General features: G+C 37.7%; 1 protein-coding gene across 4 annotated transcripts in view; it reads right to left on the reverse strand.

The window, feature by feature from the left end:
- Window positions 1-19,176, reverse strand: part of ABCA12 (ATP binding cassette subfamily A member 12) — a 207,085-nt gene that overhangs the window by 41,718 nt on the left and 146,191 nt on the right. For 3 of the 4 annotated variants that reach the window (NR_103740.2, NM_173076.3, NM_015657.4), the window contains 13 exons: window positions 17,443-17,772; window positions 16,293-16,362; window positions 16,070-16,204; window positions 14,388-14,534; window positions 13,283-13,469; window positions 10,388-10,606; window positions 8,928-9,124; window positions 7,224-7,384; window positions 5,545-5,781; window positions 5,057-5,207; window positions 2,526-2,778; window positions 1,519-1,605; window positions 690-783 (listed from right to left, as the gene is read on the reverse strand). Coding sequence is in view for 3 of the 4 variants with exons in the window: in NM_173076.3 (NP_775099.2) it covers window positions 690-783; window positions 1,519-1,605; window positions 2,526-2,778; window positions 5,057-5,207; window positions 5,545-5,781; window positions 7,224-7,384; window positions 8,928-9,124; window positions 10,388-10,606; window positions 13,283-13,469; window positions 14,388-14,534; window positions 16,070-16,204; window positions 16,293-16,362; window positions 17,443-17,772 (2,268 nt within the window). In the remaining variant the exon portion in view is untranslated. Of the gene's footprint in view, window positions 1-689; window positions 784-1,518; window positions 1,606-2,525; window positions 2,779-5,056; window positions 5,208-5,544; window positions 5,782-7,223; window positions 7,385-8,927; window positions 9,125-10,387; window positions 10,607-13,282; window positions 13,470-14,378; window positions 14,535-16,069; window positions 16,205-16,292; window positions 16,363-17,442; window positions 17,773-19,176 lie in introns of all 4 variants that reach the window. The other variant, XM_011510951.3, reaches the window with a different exon arrangement.

Below are 19,176 nucleotides of genomic sequence, written 5' to 3' on the forward strand. Positions count from 1 at the left end.
ACCAAGACACTTCAGTGTACAACCATATGTCACTCTGAAGAAAATATTGCAAGAAATTTAGTTGGCAATATAGTAACTATTAGAAACTAATAGTGACCTTTTTTCTTCAACAATCTTGAACTTCTCTAGTGAATGTGGTTCTCGTACAAGTGTGGTGAACTGATAGGCTTAGAAAACTAAGGTCCGCATCAATAGAATACAGACAGAGTAAGTGATGAATAATTTTTTTGTTTTTTCAGGAAATGATTTTTTTCCTGAAGCCTGGAGGTGTTGCTTAGAGACACATGGAGTTCTGTTCTAGACTTATACATTATTGACTTCCCAGCTGACCACTACAGTGGCAGTCTTGCTATATTTCAAATATGACAGTTATGGTCTCATTTTTTCCTGTGAAGCATAGAGCCTTCTACTTAGTTCTAAATTGAGACCAAAAATTCATTTTCGGTTGGTTTCCACAAAGACCATCATAGAATTACCTACCTTTGGAAATTGGTCCTGAGATGGATTTAAAACAGTAAGCTGATGTTCAAAGTCAGTATTTTTTGAGCTGCCCAGATCCATATTTCTGAGCTACTAGCTTCCATAAAATGAACTTATACTGATTCTTTGGTAACCTAGAGAGATCTTTCGAGCTTTCGATATTTATTCCCGTATTTTTCCCATTTCACTGAAACTGAATTCCATCTTACCTGGACATTTTCTGAGCAGGAGCAAACACCAAAATTAGTGATGGGTTCTCCACTGGTGTTCCATTTTTCCAGACTGTCTTTGTTTAAACACTGTCTGCAAGTTAAAATGATATTGCTGTGAGGTGTGTATGTATATGTGTTCTCATGTTTACATATGAGCATGTAAACAAGTATTTGGTATTAAGTTCATGTGTGTAGTCACAGAACAATTTACTGATTTTTCATAACTTCAGTGTACATTGCTCCACCATTTCCAAATGATTTGACGTTTTGTGATGGGGGACAAGGGAGAGCATTTATTGATTACATAGTATTGAGACCAGTGCTTATTGAATTGTCTTACTGTGTCAGGATGGGGTTTCTTCTCTCCTTTATACTCTTTGCAGAGAGGAAGGGATACTTTAGCATAATAATACACCAAGGTCATGTTTACATGAGTTGTGTATTAATACTATCTTAGATGTTCAAATAAGCAACACTATATAGTGCAAATGAGAACTGGAGTCTCAGCTAGATAAGTATCTTGGTCTCTGTGGGCCTCAGTTCTTTATCTGTAAAATGGGATTAATAATCCACAAGATTGTGATAATTAAATGAAAATATGTATACAAGAGAGTTGTACAAATCATAAGACATCTAATATTGATTGGTATAGCATAGGATAACTAAGAAATGAACTAAAGGAGATAGACAAAATCTGTTAAACAGGGATTTCTATCAGGGTACAGCTTTCTTCCAGGCAAATAACAGACACACACACCCACATACACATGCACACACTCAAACTGGAATGCTGAAAACAAAAAATAGAAGAGCAAGAACCACTTACAGATCACTGGTGTTCAGACACATGTTGTCAATTCCAGGGAAGTCCCACATTGCTGAGACAAGTGCTTCCGTGCTCGGGTGATAATTACTGCAATATGAAAGGACAGAAACAAATTCATGATTTTTCTACTAGTCTCCCATATTAAAATCATGCTTGAAGAAATGAAATGTGCTGTATATAGAAGGGTTTTCTTTTTCTTTTTTGAGACAGAGTCTTGCCGTGTTGCCCAGGCTGGAGTGCAGTAGTGCAATCACACGGCTCAATGCAACCTCAGCCTCCCGGGTTCAAGCGATGCTTATACCTCAGACACCCGAATTGCTGATATTGCAGGTGATTGCCACCAGGCCTGGCTAATTTTTGTATTTGTAGTAGAGACGGGGTTTTGCCACGTTGGCAGGATGGTCTCAAACTCTGGAGCTCAAGTAATCAGCCCACCTTGGCCTCCCAAGGTTCTAGGATTACAGGCGTGAGCCACGGCACTCAGCCTAGGACTGTTTTCTTAATCTAAGAAATCTGAAAAAAGACACAGTCTCAGGAAAAGAAAGAAAGGTATCACAGGAAAATGCACATGTCTCTGTTTGGCTGCCTTCTTATTCACCTAATTGTCACATGCATCAGTGATCACCTATTGTATATGTAACATTATATTACACAGGATTCTGACATTGCTATTTAATATTTGTGAGACCAATAAAAAGTTATTTGCTGTATATTACAACAGATTGGGAAGCCATACCTAGCCTGGATTTCTTAATTAAAGTCGTCATTATAAATAAATATCTACTATAACTTTAGTTTTAGATGAATGCAAAAACTCTGAAAAAAACTATTTGTTGGCAATAGAAGTAACATATTGCAATCAATCAAACTGTTCATTCCTTTAGCAGAATCAGGTACCATGGCTTCTAAGTACTTTATTCTCCAGATCTCATGGCCTTCATTCAGGTACAACCACACTCCTGGAAGCATTTTGGAAACATTCTTTTAGTTAACAGAAAGAAACTTACGCATAGAAGGCTGTCTGTTCGGAGGTACCATAAAGAGAGGGGGAGATCTGAATCTCTGGATAACTGTTGCTGGAATTTCTCAGTGTGCCAAGGCCCATGGCAGTGGTAACAAAGACGATGGGGAGGATAACCTGAGCAATGAGACCTTTCCAGTTCCTGCGGGTGTGGTGGAACCTCTTGATGAGTATAGCCATGATCTTCTTCAGCAACAGTCCAAAGCCATCCAGCCTCTCTCCTCTTGTCAGGATTTTGTCTGATTAAGAAAAAGAGATTGGATATGGTTCTGGGAAATCTTGATAAGCAATAAAATAACTTCAGAAACTATATATAAATGGTATAATACACTGTGGTGGGAAAAGCTTTTAAAGATTTGGATTTGAGGTTCAGCAATGTTATTTCTCAGCCTTAGCCTTGGACCTTCCATTGGGAAAACTGAGAACTATAATATCCATCTCATATAGAACTGTGTGTAAAGTGATTTGAAAATTCTAATTCACTATACACAAAATAGTATTAATCACAGGCATAGTAATTTTACATGTCAAAGTTAGATACCTAGAATTTCATAAATGAATATTGACCTCAAACCCTAAAGTCTCAATGCAGACCCAGTATATATTACTAATACTCAAGAGATAGTTTCTATGAAGAGACTAAATACATGTGAGACAAATACAAACTCAAACACCAACCTAATCTAACAATTTGTTCCTATTGTGAGTAACTTAGTGACTGTAAGTCTAATTGGCTCTGATTCTAACATGAGGTCCAATTAATTCACACTAAGAGTAGGAAAAGGGAAATCCTCTCTTCCAGAGTACAATTCTGGTTCAACCACATATTTATTACATTCTCTTTAGAAATTTGGAATGATTATATGGCCTTTCAAAACTCCATTTTTGCCACTAGAGTTATTAAAAAAAAAGAACTCATTAGAAAAAATATCTACCATCCCCATACTTTGAAATGCTTTTCTAGTGCTGAGAAAAATTCCATGGCAGAGCAGCTATAGAGGCCATAAACCATTGCTTCCTCAATAGAGCTCTGTGGCTAATAATTTCAGCACTCCCTCTAAAAACAGGTTCAAATATAGCATTCTCTCCGAAAGCCTGCCACCACGCACACCTTCATAGGTGATAAAATGATGGTATTCATCAACTCTGCGTATATTTTAAGTTTTCCATCAGAAATTATGCAGCACAAAAATCATGATCTTCATTTAGCTGATAAGAAAAAATACAAAGCTGCTTAATTTAAAATGAATTCCAATTAAACAGAGTGAACAAGTTTAAATGCAAACTCATATCTCTGCAAAAGGGAACTGTAGAAGGAGCTGAATATTTTCAGTTAATTAGTATGCTTTTCTGTTTCTTGAGAAATTATATGTGGATGACTTACAGGTGTATCAAATGAAATAAATGTGCTTTCTAAAAGATAATGTCAATGAAGGGAACATTTGGACTGAAGAATAGTTTCAAATTATAAGACACATGCAGAGGCACATACTTAGCCTTTGCTTCCTGCAGCAGATGACCACTTTCTAATAAAAGTCCTCAATGCCATGGAGGCCACAATTATATTCCCCAAAAGAAAAGAAATGAGAACTATGACAGAGGACAAATTAGCCTCCAGTTCCAGAATTATACAAACATCAGAGATTATCTTTCCTGACTTTGAGAGCCAGGCAAATGTTTAATTAAAAGTTCTGTTCCTAGAGATTTTTTTCTGTAAGCAAAAACTGTTGAAATGACTACTCCATGATTTATATATCATTTTACTCTATGCTTCCTTAAGTAAATGGTGTTTCCAGAGGTATAAATTAACTGTCAGAAAGAGAAGAGACAATAAAAGTTATTTTCAAAAGAGCCCAATCCCACAAAGTCGTGTCAAGCAACATGATTTTTTAAGCATATCCTATGTTAAGGATTGGGGGAGGAAATCTACTATTACAGACTCTTAGCCATCAAGTCCAAATTAATTAACTCAGAAACTCTCCCCAAAAGCAGTTTCTCAGCACCTGAAAGACTCAGAGTCACGTAGGTTAGACATGTTTTCCATTGAGGGTACCATAAAGAGCGGCAGCTCCTTTTTTTTCCTTTTTTTTTTTTTTCCTTTTTTTTATGACTATTGTCTCTACTTCAACATGTCTAATAACAAGGAGTGAACTACCTTACTTGGTAATCTTGTCCATTGTTAGCCCCGATTACAAGAAGAATTTTACCTTGCTGAACATGAACTGAAATTGTAGAAGTTACTTCTTGAAAACAATTTCTGGTGGGGAGGTGGAATACTCATCACCATGCTATCAAGAGAGTTCTTTCACATTCTTCAAAGTACTTTTGAAATAGAGAATTCGATTTGGTTTAATGAATATTTTATATCTTAAAAAAGGAGGCTTAAATTTCCTTAGTGTTTTTTGAATTTAGAATGAAACTTTAGAGTTGAATTTTTAAAAATCAAAGTCTGTCTGTGATTTTTCTCATTTATGTCATCCATTGGAATTAAACAAAATATCCACATTAGATTCATACCATCTCTGTCTGTGAAATTGCTGCTGCTCACAGATAAATCGTCAGGAGTTGAGATGCCATTGGCATTGGAATTCCCAATTTTCTTTTGTGTTAAGTGCTCAAGACTCATAGCACTATTTTTTTGTGACTCTTTGGTCAAGTTCAGAAAGACCTAGAAAGAGAAGCCAGATCACTTCATTAACATGAAAAGTGCATGTCTTTTCTCATTTCTAAGCTTACCTTTGATTTTGAACTTTTATCACATTTACTGAGACAAATTTTTCCCGTCTGACTTCAAGTGAATATTTCTGTATGTAAAAGATACGTGCTGTCTAGCTGGGGCAACATTTTATTCTCAGTCTTACATAAGAATAGTACTGAAAAAATGTTAAGCTTTTCTAATTTTGTGAACTATTTTAAAAATTTTTTTAGAAAAATGGCACATATTTCTTCAAAGGGAACAGCAAGTTATATCAGCTTGAAGAAAAAAAAGAAATATTGAGGTATACCTCCTCCACGGTGGTATCTGAAATGCCGTAGCACCCGATGTTGAGGTCACCCATGCCATTGTCGAGTGCCCGTAGGAGTGACAGGTAGGCCCCTGAGACTTTGGTGCTGAATGGAGGAAGTACATAAACAAGCTCTCCCCCAATATCCTCCTTGAGGTAGGCTTCGGGGAGATGTGATTGGATCATTGCTGTCACGGCCATGGTGTCACATACTGCATTTGCATTTAAATTTGGACTCTAAGAGAGAAAAGTAGGAATTAAAACACTCTCCTCTCTTTACACTATAGTGCTCCAGGCCCTAATCAGAGGGTGAGGTGATGAGCTCTTTTAGGCCACTCCACACCTGAGTCAGATCATAACATCACTGCTCTAGAGACCCCTTTGCCACTTGGGTCCCTATTCTACTGGCCCCATTCTCCCATGTCACGCTGTCCCTTCTCTAACCCCCTCCCTCTCATTTGCTCTACTCTAGCAACAACAGTCTCTTTTCTGTTGCTAGAGGGCTTTGGGTTCAGGCACATCCCCTCCTCAGGGTCCTTGCAACTGGTGGTCCTATACCTCCAGATAGCGATGTGTCCCATTCTCTCACCACCTCCAACTCTCAGCTCAACTGTCACTTTATCAAAGAACCTCTTTTCTTATTACCCTACTTAAATATTGCCCCACTTGGCATTCCCTGCTTTATTTCTATCCATAGCATAGAAATAAATATTTACTAAAATATTATTTATTAATAAATATTAAAAAATTTACTAATAGAAATAAGTGATGTACTAATTGCCAATATATGAAATAATTTACTTATTGATCGTATCATCTGAATTCCTCACACTCCATCAGAATATAAACTCTAAGAGGCCAGAGATTTTCATATTATCAGTTCACTGCTGTGTCACCACTGCCTGGGACAGTGCTTGGATATCATAAGGCATAATGCACCTAATACATAAATGTCTGAATGAGTATAATAATTAAGAGTATAACTATTAATAGCATAACATTTTCTTATATTTTGTAAGTCACAGGAGGATTAGATATAAAATAAATGGAGGTAGTTGAAAACTTCCTAATAGCATATACATCTTGCACAGTATTTTTAAATCATATGTTCTGTTAGGTGGTGCAGGGATCTTTAGCGAGCATTTTTGTTCTCCAAAAGATGTAAAGGCACCGTTGACCTGTGCAAATTACAGTCCCTGCACTGCCACTTGAGGAGTACTAATCAGAATGTGAACCCATGACTTCATATTCGTTTTATTTGCTTTTGATAAAGCAGAAAATTGAATTTTTGGCTTTCTAGGTTGAAATGTTAGGAGAACTAAAAGGCTGATTCTCCATCAGTAACCTTAAGATGTCAATCATTTTTTACCTAGCACATTGGTTCTGAATGTGCAGTCCTCAGACCAGCAACATCAGCGTCACCTGGGAATTTGATAAAAATATAATACATTCTGCACTCCCATCCCAGACCTACAGGATCAGACACTCTTGGGGTGGGGCCAGAACTCTGGGTTTTAGTCAAGACCTCCAGGATTTCGATGCTCACTCAAATATGAGAAGCAGTAAGCTAGTATACTAATGAATTTTAGCAATGAATAAAGTTGGAGAGACTCTGCTCCTATTTCATATAAAACTTAATTTATGGTGCCATAATGAGATATATTTTCTCCCATTCCTACCTTCTTCTTGGTAAGCGTGAGGTGATACCCATCGCCAAAGGCTTCCTTGAGGTAAAATGGGGACCCACAGCACCTAAGCCCACCCTGCTCCAGGAAGGCGATGCGGTCACTCAGCACTTCAGCCTCGTCCAAGTGGTGCGTTGACAGAATGATTGTTCTGGCTTGAAAATACAGACAAGAACAACAGGGAATGAAACGTGAAAGTACAGTTCCCAAGACACACAGAGTTGGCCAGAGTAAATCCTGTGACATCTGAGAAGAGTCACATTTCATGAGCTAACTGAAAAACTGACTGACCTCAAAGAGCTTCCAAAATGATGCAAGAAAAATTCAGGGCCAGGCTCACTGGTTCACGCCTGTAATCCCAGCACTTTAGGAGGTTGAGGCGGGCAGATCACTTGAGGTCAGGAGTTCGAAACCAGCCTGGCCAACATGGTGAAACCCCATCTACAATTAGCTGGGTGTGGTGGCGGATGCCTATAATCCCAGCTACTTGGGAGGCTGAGGCAGGAGACTCTCTTGAACCCGGGAGGTGGAGGGTGTAGTGAGCCAAGATTTATGCCACTGCACTCCAGCCTGGGTGACAGACGAGAGTCCATCTCAAAGGGAAAAAAAAAAAAAAGAAAGGAAAAAAAGAAGAAAAACTCAGAAGGGTGTTCTTAAATATTTGGACGCATTTTTTTTCATATAAATTAACAGCAAATAATCCTTTATTATGCTGAGTGACTAAATGTTCACCATTTGTCATGTGGGCATTGGCAATTCTTCACAGTCTATTAGAATTTTGCTCCCATGGGTTCATTTTGCATTGTTTTTCTCTCTCTCTTCCCCTTTCTTCATTATGAAAAAGCAATAATTTAAGACTTTTTGAATATTCCTCTCTGATTATTCCACTCCACTCTGATTACTCCGTTGCTTCACATCCTGTCAGCACTTACTTAGTCTGTTTTCAGTTTATTTTCATTTGTGTATGTTTGATATCTCTAATTAGATTCTTAGCTCCTCTAAGCATTAAACTTTGAAACTTCTGTTGGATTTGCATGCTCTCAAAAAGGCCAGTTAAGTGCTCAACTCACAGCGGGCAGTACATAGATATTAACCAATTGACCCAGAAAGTTGTCTGGGAGAAAAATCTTCAAAATCTTCAGAAAAGAAAGAGCCAATCTTAGACTTTTAAAAGATATCATATTCGATAAATATGTACAAGCATGATGTATCTATACAAATAAATTTTAAAATTTTTAAAAAGATATCATAAACAGAAAAGTCGTCAAGCTGGTTTTTTTTTTTTTTTTTTTTTTGAGACAGTATCTCACTCTGTCATCCAGGCTGGAGTGCAGTGACTTGATCATAACTTACTGCACCCCTGCACCCTTGACCTCTTGGGTTCAAGTGATTCTCCAGCCTCAGCCTCCTGACTAGCTAGGACTACACATGCCAGCCACCACAGTCAGCTGTTTTTATTATTATTATTATTATTATTATTATTATTATTATTATTATTTTATTATTATTGACAGCGTCTCACTATGTTACCCAGGCTGGTCTCAAACTCCCAGGCTCAAGCAATCCTCCTGTCTTGGCCTCCCAAAGTGCTGGGATTATAGGCGTGAGCCACTGCACCCAGCCTCAGTTTGCTTTTGTATATGCCAGAGGGCAGAAGTATGACTGTTGGGTGGAGAAGTTCTGAGAAACTACTCATACCAGTTTTGTTCTTGGATATAACATCCCATATACTTCGGCGAGAACATGGGTCAACTCCAGTAGATGGTTCATCCAAAATTACTACCCTTGATCCACCAATGAGAGCTATGGATATAGATAACTTCCTCTTCATGCCTCCTGACAGTGTTCCAACTCTCTTATGACGATGGCTATATAGTCCAGTATCTTTTAAAGTCCTTCAAAAATAATGTATGATGGTTATTTTTTTACAGATATACTATTTGAGTACTGGAAACATACAATAACCCTAATTGATATGTATTCACTAGGTAACTATTATGTGCTCAGTAAGGTACAATAAACTCTTGAGGATTCATAATATAGTTTTCTATTATTTATCACCTGGATACAAAATTAATACTCAAAAAATTAACTTTTTACAAAGTACAAAATTAATGTACTTTACAAAGTACAAAATTAATACTCAGAAAAAAACACAAAGGAATATATAATTCATTCCTTTGACAAATATCTAGAGAGTTCCTACCTATTTTGTGCCAGGCTGTGTTTTATGTACTTGGGAAAAGCAGTGAACACATAAAATTTCTATTCATAAGGAGATTATGTTCTAGTAAGTGTGTGTATTGGGAGGGATATAGGGAAATCCAGTCAATAAATATATTCTCAAGTAAGTTTTGGTGGTGATAAGTGCAATTAAAAAAAATAAAGCAGTGAATATAAGATAAGGAGTGGCTGGGACATGCTATTATAGGCATCAATTTTATATATGGTAGTCATCTCAGAAAAGGTGACATTTTGGCACAGACCAGGAAAGCGGTCATTTGACCAAGATTAAGACAAATGGCCATCTGGGGGGGTAGGTGCTGTAAGTAGAGAGAAGAGAAAGTAAAAAGCCCTGAGGCTGGAGCAGGCCTAGGACAGTCACGTGTGTAGCTAGGCCAGTGTGCCTTGAGCAGAGTGAATGTGGAGGTGAGTGGAAGGACATGAAATCAGAAGTGAGAATGGAGGCAAATCACTTAGGACCTCCTAAGTCTTGATAAGGATGTTATTGAGTATTATACTGAGCATGGAAGGAAGCCACTGGACGATTTAAATCCAGGAGTGACATAGTCTGATTTGCAGTTGAAAAAGATCACCCTGGTTGCTCTTTGAAGAACAGATTTCACAAGAGATGAGTGAAATCCAAGAATCCACTTAGGAGGCTTGGACCAGGGTAGTAGCCATGGAGATCAGAAGCAAAGGATTCGGGGCAATATGGGAGCCACAGATGAAGAGAGTTAAACAATTTCAGTGTAATAACTGGCCGGTAAGGATAATGACCTTAAATGTTTGCAATATTAAATAAGTAGAAAAACTAAAAAGTAATTATTTCGTGAGAAAATATTTCCTATTGGTATCATTACCAGAACTTTACCAACCAAGCTATGGGTCTTTGAGAGGAGTTAGCAACTTAGGTTCTCATTCCTGTCTTAACTTGCCTTTTTACTTCCTCGTGGAGCTGCTTTTTAGTCCAGTGAGGAACTTTGATGGAACCATATAGGAGAAGGTGCTCCTTAGTAGTGAGGTAACTGAACAAGACGTCGTGCTGCATACAGACTCCCATGTTCTTCCGTACCGTGTGTAGGTCTGTTTTGATATCTTTTCCATATACAAAAATGGTGCCTGCTGAGGCCCCAAACAGCCCAGTTAACATGGAACTGGAAATGAAGAAATGATAAATTAGGTATAAGCCAAGCATTGAAGCTAGATATTAGGAATAACTATATCTCAGTTGTTAGAAGGAAAAAATACAGTGTATCTTCTCAGTCAAGGGCAAACTATGAAATAAAATGGTATTTAATGGGAATAAGAAATATTACTTTTAAGTTTTTAATAATTCAGAGTATTACATAAATGCTAAATGATGATGACAAAAACGATCAGGCCTTTTTTTTTTTTTTTTTTTTGAGACGTAGTCTCACTCTGTCGCCCAGGCTGGAGTGCAGTGGCACGATCTCAGCTCACTGCAACCTCTGCCTCCTGGGTTCACACCATTCTCCTGCCTCAGCCTCCCGAGTAGCTGGGACTACAGGCATGTGCCACCACGCCCGGCTAATTTTTGTATTTTTAGTAGAGACGGGGGTTTCACTGTATTAGCCAGGATGGTCTCGATCTCCTGACCTCGTGATCCACACGCCTTGGCCTCCCAAAGTGCTGGGATTACAGGCATGAGCCACTGCGCCCAGCCATGATTGGGCTTTTAAATTCCAAGTACGTTCTCCCTCCTTGAGCATACCCATGCACTTTCCTGACATCCCTTAGCATCTACAGGTTGGCATGTCTCAAATTTACATCTGTAGCCCAGACTTCATTATTCAGCTCCAGGATTGCTCTATATATCTATCAGACAATACCACTTCTCTGTGAGATTTCTTACAGGGTCCTTCAACTCAGTATGTTTAAAACCGAGCTCATGATCTTTACCCTAAAAGCCACACCCTCATTGATTTTGCCTCTTTCCCCATGTGATAAATTCATACACTGGTTGCACGAGACTGGAATCTGTAAGTCATTTTTGCACTCTCCTCCTATCTTAATCTCCTAACTACATGCCCATCTCACCGTTTTCACAGCTATCCTCATGGGACCATCACCATCACCACCTGCCTAACCCATCACTCTAAGCTCCTAACTCTACTTCCCGCATGCTCTTTGGTCATCTCTAGTCCTTTTCTCTATACTGTGATTAGAATATTCTCACCTGGATAATTCCTCATCATCTTTCAGATAGTTAGTAAACTGGGCAATTATTTAATACCCATCTCCTCCACTATAATGTAAGCTCCATGAGGTCAAGGAAAGGTCCTGTTTTCTAAGCACTTTGTCTCAGTAACCTACTCAGTGCCTTGCAGTGCAGACTTCTGGATTAAATTATGAACAAAGGAATATGCAGTTTTCCCATATGAACACTGAAATACAAATAACATACTTTATATTAAAGGTTTCTATTTAGAACAATAAAATGGGGGCATTCTCAGCTAAAATTATAGCCTCTTCAAGAGCCTTCTCTGTTCCTTTTCTTCATTAGCCTCTTATTGCCTATTAGAAACATGAATGGAGCTGGAGGCCATTATCTTTAGCAAATTAACACAGGAACAGAAAACCAAATACAAATATGTTCTCACTTATAAGTGGGAACTAAATGATGAGAATACACGGACACAGAGAAGGTAACACCACACAGTGGGGCTTTCGGAGGGTGGAGGGTGGGAGGAAGGAGAGGATCAGGAAAAATAAGTAATGGGCACTAGGCTTAATACCTGAGTGATGAAATAATCTGTAAAACAAACCCTCATGATGAATTTACCTGTGTAACAAACCTGCACTTGTGCCCCTGAACTTAAAATAAAAGTTAAAAAAAAATCTGGCCTTTTTGGCATTGTATTCTCCCTGGAAAGCCAACTCTGACTTTAAACAGGCCATGCAAATAGCAGAGGCTGTATGCTCACTCATTTCATGACCTCGTTTGTCCCCTTTTATTTACAAAAAAAAATTAATTCCAGTGTTTTTGCAGTCACTGAGCTGATTCGTGATGATACTAAGTAAGATATGCAGCAACTGATCCTTTTTCTCAAACAAGGGCTCGAGCACCAGCAGCATCTTAGAGCTGACTCAGCAACTAAGTGAATATGGAGCATTGGAGGCAAATCACATAAAAATAACTCAAAAGAATGTCACTTTAAAAACAGTTGAATCTCTTCTCCATTCTGACACAGGAAAATGCTACATAGGTGAGGAGTGAGAAAGAACAGCTTATGTTCTGCTCCTGGCCTTTTTGATTGCTGTCTGATAGCTGGTGGTTCCTTTGTTTCTTTATGAGTCAAGGCAAAGGTTTCCCATGAAGGAGCAGCTGAGGCTAAGTGTGTTTATATCAGGATGCAAAATTTCATACTTATATATATGCCAGGTTAGAAATGCAAATAAATGAAACAGGGTGGGTGTATGAAGCAGTGCAGCTTGGTAGAGACCAGGGATGAGCCAGAAAACAGATACTCCCTTTAAGAGATCAGTTACTAATGAGCCCCAATCAATAGTCTCTACCTAAGAATATGAACTCAATGTTGTAGAATTTCCTATTATCTAAGAGGTGCCAAGAATATTTATTTTTATTAGAAACTCCCTATTTTACAAAATTGGCACTGAATTAAAAATTTTTTAAAGTATTACAACCTTTGATTTTGACTCCATTCTATAGCATACAAGTTGAACCATCTTCCTCCATCTGGGAAATGTAATAACTTTATGTTTTATAAACATAGGTTAGTTTATTTTTTTTACACCTGTATTTTTTGTAACATGCTTCCATGGCAATAAATGTCAAAAAGTTAACATACATGGTAGTAGTTTTCCCAGCTCCATTGGGCCCCAGCAATGAAGTAATATGCCCTTCATAAAAGTTCAGATTGAGGTTATCAACAGCAACTTTTGAGCCATAGATCTTTGTGACCCCATGCAGGGCAACCCCGACTGTGAGATCTTTAGGTTCAGGCTCGATGTTAGAGGAAAACATGTATTCAGGACCTGGAGAGAAATCAAGGGAAGAGTTGTAAACTCACAAGTAAGGTAATGCAGCTAGAGTTAGACTTTATCTTTATTAAAAATTTAAGACTATAAAAATATAACCCTCTAAGTAAAATAAAAAATCCAGAAACAAATGATTTATTATAGTCTTCAGCCTCCTCACTTGGTTGCAGAATGAATAAGAGTGGAGAACCAGGGTTCATTTCACCCTTCTTTGTTGGAAAAAGCAGTCCCAGAATATGGTATTATAATTATAAATTCTCCTTTATTCAACAGATATCAAATAGTCAAAAGATATGTCTAAGGCTTGGTCCTCTGGTTGGGCAGGATGATACCAAATTATAAAATAAATGCCTCCAAAGTTGTGATTTTAGAGTGATAAGACTAGTTGAGATTGTGGTTTATAGAATCCAGTTCATTAATAACTATCTACACCTCCTTCAGGCATCACAAAAGGACCGCTTAGTGGCCCGTACTCACTTTATAATGACACGACTCACCTAGTATCAGGAAGACACAAGCTTTGAACTACTTTTCCAGTATTTGTGATGGGTTATGCTAAATTACTCAAACTTGTTACTTGGTTACCCCTTATGACTGGTGACAGATGGCTGGAGTTAGGGGTGTAGATTGTGGCCAAGGAACAAAATTTTTCTCTGTGTGAGTCTAACTGGACCACAAAGGGATCTGCAATCTTGGCCTAATTAGCACCATATGCTAACCAACTGAGCTAATGAGCCCAGAAAAAGCCACAATTTAATCCCCATAAGAGTCCAAAGACGCATGTGTAGACATTTTCATCCATGACTAAAAGGATGATAATTTTGCCATTTAGAAAAAAATAATTGAAACTACTAGTCATGTAATTTCATATCATTTCTCTCATAACAAAGCACGCTGTTGACCGACTTGTCTTACTGGCAGATGGGTTGGTGTTCTGCATCATGATGTTAGTAAACATGAGGCCATTGCTCTTCTCAGGCTTCACCTCTGCACACCCAAATCGCTCCTTCCAATAGGAAGGAAGAATTGGAAAATACCAGGGAGCTGCCATACCGTATGTCCCTGGAATAAAAATATATCAGGAACAGTGAGTTTTAGTTGACTGTTAACATTTATCATCAGAAACAAAACAGTAGATCCTATGTATGGTTTAGGAAGTAGTTTTATTTTTTGACACTATATAAAACTAAAAGGTGGTCTCAGTTTCCATAGTAAAGCAAAAAACGATGCTTTTTTTCCTTGTTAGTTTTTAAGCAGCTTTATTTACATTTACTAAAACTTATCTAACTGTACACTTATTGTAATGGAAAAAGCCACTATTTATCTATGAAATACATGTCTACAAGTTGTGATTTTACAGTGATAAGACTAGTTCAGATCCAGATTCTGGGTTTCCAGCCCAGAAAAAGCCACAATTTAATCCCCACAAGGGTCCAAACAGACATGTGTAGACATATTCATCTATGACCAAAAGGATAATTTTGCCACTTAGAAAAACATAATTAAAACTGTTAGTCATATAATTTCATATCATTTCTCTCATAACAATGCATGCTGTTGGCCTACTTGTCTTATTATTGTAAGTGTACAGGTAGATAAGTCTTAGCTAATGTATAAAGTTGTGCAATTCAGTATTAGAACATTTCTATAACTCAAAAAATTTGTCTCATGCCCATTTGCAGATAATCCCTGCTCCCACCTCACATCCCAGGCAATCATTGATCTGCCTTCTGTCTCTATCTGTCTTTCACAGATCTTACATAAATGAAATCATATTCTTTTATTCATGTATAACACCAAAAAATGCATACATATAAGTAGGGCTAAATGGAAAACTAAGCATGTTAGAAAGGATGACTGCTTGAGACCTAGAAGGGGGAACCCAACTTGTCTTCTTCCGTTAGAATCTGGTAAATTCTCCTTAGAATTAGGAGATTTGGTTTTTCCCTTATTATCTCTCACACTCCTATTTAGAGAGACTGGATTGATTTGACACTATTCTAAGCTTCTTAATTCACTCCATCTTTTAAAGGAATATCCGAGAGGAAATTTAGCAGTATATTATCTCATCCTGAAAATTTTTTGTTAGCTTTGGGATTTGAATACTTCTTTTTGGAGATTATATATGGCAAATAAGATTTTTTTTTAATTAAAAAAAAGTTAAAGGCCGGGCATGGTGGCTCTTGCCCGTAATCCCAGCACTTTGGGAGGCCAAGGCGGGCAGATGACTTGAGATCAGAAGCTCGAGAGCAGCCTGGCTAACATGGTGAAACCCCGGCTCTATTAAAAATACAAAAATTAGCCGGGCGTGGTGGCACGTGCCTATAATCCCAGCTACTTGGGAGGCTGAGGCAGGAGAATCGCTTGAACCTGGGAGGTGGAGGTTGCAGTGAGCCGAGATCACGCCACTGCACTCCAGCCTGGGCAACAGAGGGAGACTCCATCTCAATACATACATATATATATATATATATATATAATATTTTTATTTTTTAATTTAAAAATTTTTTGCAAATAAAATATTAGAACATATTATTAGTTGATTTATATTGAAGTCAACCATAAAAAGCATGTATCTGTAGGAAGCACATTCATACCTGGGAAGACATTCCTGACATACCAAGCAATAAGGAAATAAATGAAAGAGTCAGCTAGGATTAGACAGCACAGCCAGCCAAATGAGGTGGTGTCATCCTGAACCGGGGAGGTGTACATATTTTCCCACTGAAGACCTAAAAAGTGAACACAAGTGTTTATTCTTCTGTGACACACAGCACAGTTGTGAAAGATAAAATCCAGTTTTAAAGAAAGGGGACCTACCAATGCCCTGTTCTTCGTATCGTGCAATGTATTGGCTTGCATAGCTGAATGCTGTTGGGGACAGCAGGCTCTGTGAAGAAAGGAAACGGCAATGATAGTTCTTGTAGATTTCATGTATTTCACCCAGAGGTATCCTAAAATACTTAAAACTTTGGACATTTGTATAGATAAAATTGATGCTCATTCTCTAAGCATATTTAAAAATACAGCAGTCCCTTACCAACCATGCTACAACTGTGAAGCAAGAGCAGAGAGAATAGCAGAAAACAAAAACAGGAAAATTACAACTTGAAAACCATTCCTTAAAAAATCAAAATATACATTTGAACTCATTAAATGTTGCTCAGCAAGTAATAAAATAGTTAATTATGGAGTAATTCAGTATTAAGACTAAAATTTACCAAAAATGTTAAGGGCCAGAAGGCATTTTCACTCCATACATTTATTTCAGGTAATAGAAGTACTATGAATAAAAATATACTAAAATATCAGTTGATTGAATATTGATAATTGCAACAAATTAGAAATTTAAATATTGTTTAAACCCAAAGTTGTCAATGCTAGATAAAGTTATTCATTACTTTTTATTTCCATAAATAGCAAAGTTTTAATATGATGAAATTAGCTTCTGCTTTCTAAATTTCAGTCAGTAATCTTAATGCTTTAATTAAAATTCTTAATTTAGTGCTTCTGAATTGACAAGGCAGGAGAGAATTTAAGGTTGCTTATATGCTGTTGGTGCATTTGTCTTTACACCTTTAAGCTATATTATATGTCATGAGAACCATGAAAATTGTTCACATATGAGAATAATTCCAATACTAGAGGCTCCAAGACGTTTCAGGAATTGGTCCAGAGAGAAGTCAGAATTCTTGAAGACCTCTAAAACATGATGTATGACATTTTAACTGTTCTTTCTTTAGGAACTATTTCTTAACAGTATCACATATCATGGTTTTGTAAGCTCTTCATTGTCTTGTATGGTATACAGTGATGTAAGAAAAGCTATCATTAGGACATTAAGCTTACTTTGCTTTCACTGAATTTCAAATTAAGATAAGTGAACTTTCAGTCTGAGAATCCAAAAACAAACAAACAAACAAACAAAAATGGGTAATTTCCCACTCTGCCATTCCAACGGTTGACTTACCATGAACACTTTCAATACATAGCTCAACTCATTCTCCACTGTAACCAGAACAATAAATGGAAAGAAGGCAATGATGTAGATGAGGCTTCCGATCAGAGCTGCAATGTTGGTGTTGTTGAAGAAGACACTGATAAGATAGCTCATGGCAATAACCGAGAAGCTGTAGTCCGAAAAATACAGGAACAAAATGAACCCATTTGTTTTAGGAAGAATATTGCCAAACTTGAGTATAATGATGAGGATCACGATGGTAACCAGTAAAAATCCAACACTCTCTATAAGCCAGGCAAAGAAATGGCTGCAGGAGTTCACACCCATCATCTTCATGTACTGTAAGAAGAAAAAATGTGAGGCGCTTGTTATGCTGATATTCTTCCAAATAAAAATTATTCCCTGTATTATGTCAAAATGTCATGATAGTCTCTCTGTATATGGAACTAGGCATTTTAATAATTTACATAAATCAAGAATTTATCCATGCTTGCTATGTGAAATATGCCTATATACACCAGAACAACTTAGATTATTTGTTCACAGAATGGCACAATATAATAAACAATTTGGATGGTGAGGGTTTAATTACAGTTCCACTTTATAATTGTTACCCAGCTGACATCTCTAGATTAAACTAATTTAGAATAGATTATCAAATTTATGGTATCCCCTGTAGAATTTTACATGATTTTGACATTTATGCAGGCATGAGCATTTCAAACTGGTAAAAAACCATGGCTTAACTATTAGTTCAGTGTAGAGACTGAGCTCATAAAAATCCATAATTTTTTTTTTTACTAAACACTAATGAACAACACAATCAGTATTGATGTTCCTGAGAGAAACAGTATACCTGATTCCTAAGAATTTAAAACACATAACTTAAGGGAGACCTCCTGCCTTTAGCTATAGCCTTCCCATCCTTAACACTTACTGGCAGTCTAGGTCAATATTTGTCATCCTTGTTTTCCAAAAAGCCATTTATACATTCATAATAAACTCATGTATCTGAGATCCTCTATACCTCTCTCTCAATTGATATTCTTTGATACCTCAGTGATATCCCCAGAGGCCAAGGCGTTCCACAAGGTAGAAAAATAAACAAGCACAATCAATTTGTGCATTAACTCAAAAGGATTCTGAAAGATTTAAAGTCCCCTGGGAACATCACACACCAGGGCCTGTCGGGGGATGGAGGGAAGGGGAGGTATAGCATTAGGAGAAATACCTAATGTAGATGACAGGTTGATGAGTGCAGCGAACCACCATGGCACGTGTATACCTATGTGACAAACCTACACGCTGTGCACATGTATCCCATAACTTAAAGTATAATAAAATAATACAAATAAAAATAAAAAGATTTAAAGTCCCCTGGACCTTGGTTTGGTTGAATTTTGTGACATGTACTTTGGGGAAACCTGGATATCCTGGTTTCTAATTTTAACAATTCATGATTAATGAGGGCCGATCACGGTGGCTCACGCCTGTAATCCCAGCACTTTGGGAGGCCAAGACGGGCAGATCACGAGGTCAGGAGACAGAGACCATCCTGGCTAACACAATGAAACCCCGTTTCTACTTAAAATACAGAAAAATTAGCCAGGAGTGGTGGCGGGCCCCCGTAGCCCCAGCTACTCAGGAGGCTGAGGCAGGAGAATGGCGTGAACCTGGGAGGCGGAGCTTGCAGTGAGCCGAGATCACACCACTGCACTCCAGCCTGGGCGACAGAGCAAGACT

Source organism: Homo sapiens, chromosome 2 (assembly GCF_000001405.40).
Source record: "Homo sapiens chromosome 2, GRCh38.p14 Primary Assembly".
Lineage (NCBI taxonomy): Eukaryota > Metazoa > Chordata > Mammalia > Primates > Hominidae > Homo > Homo sapiens.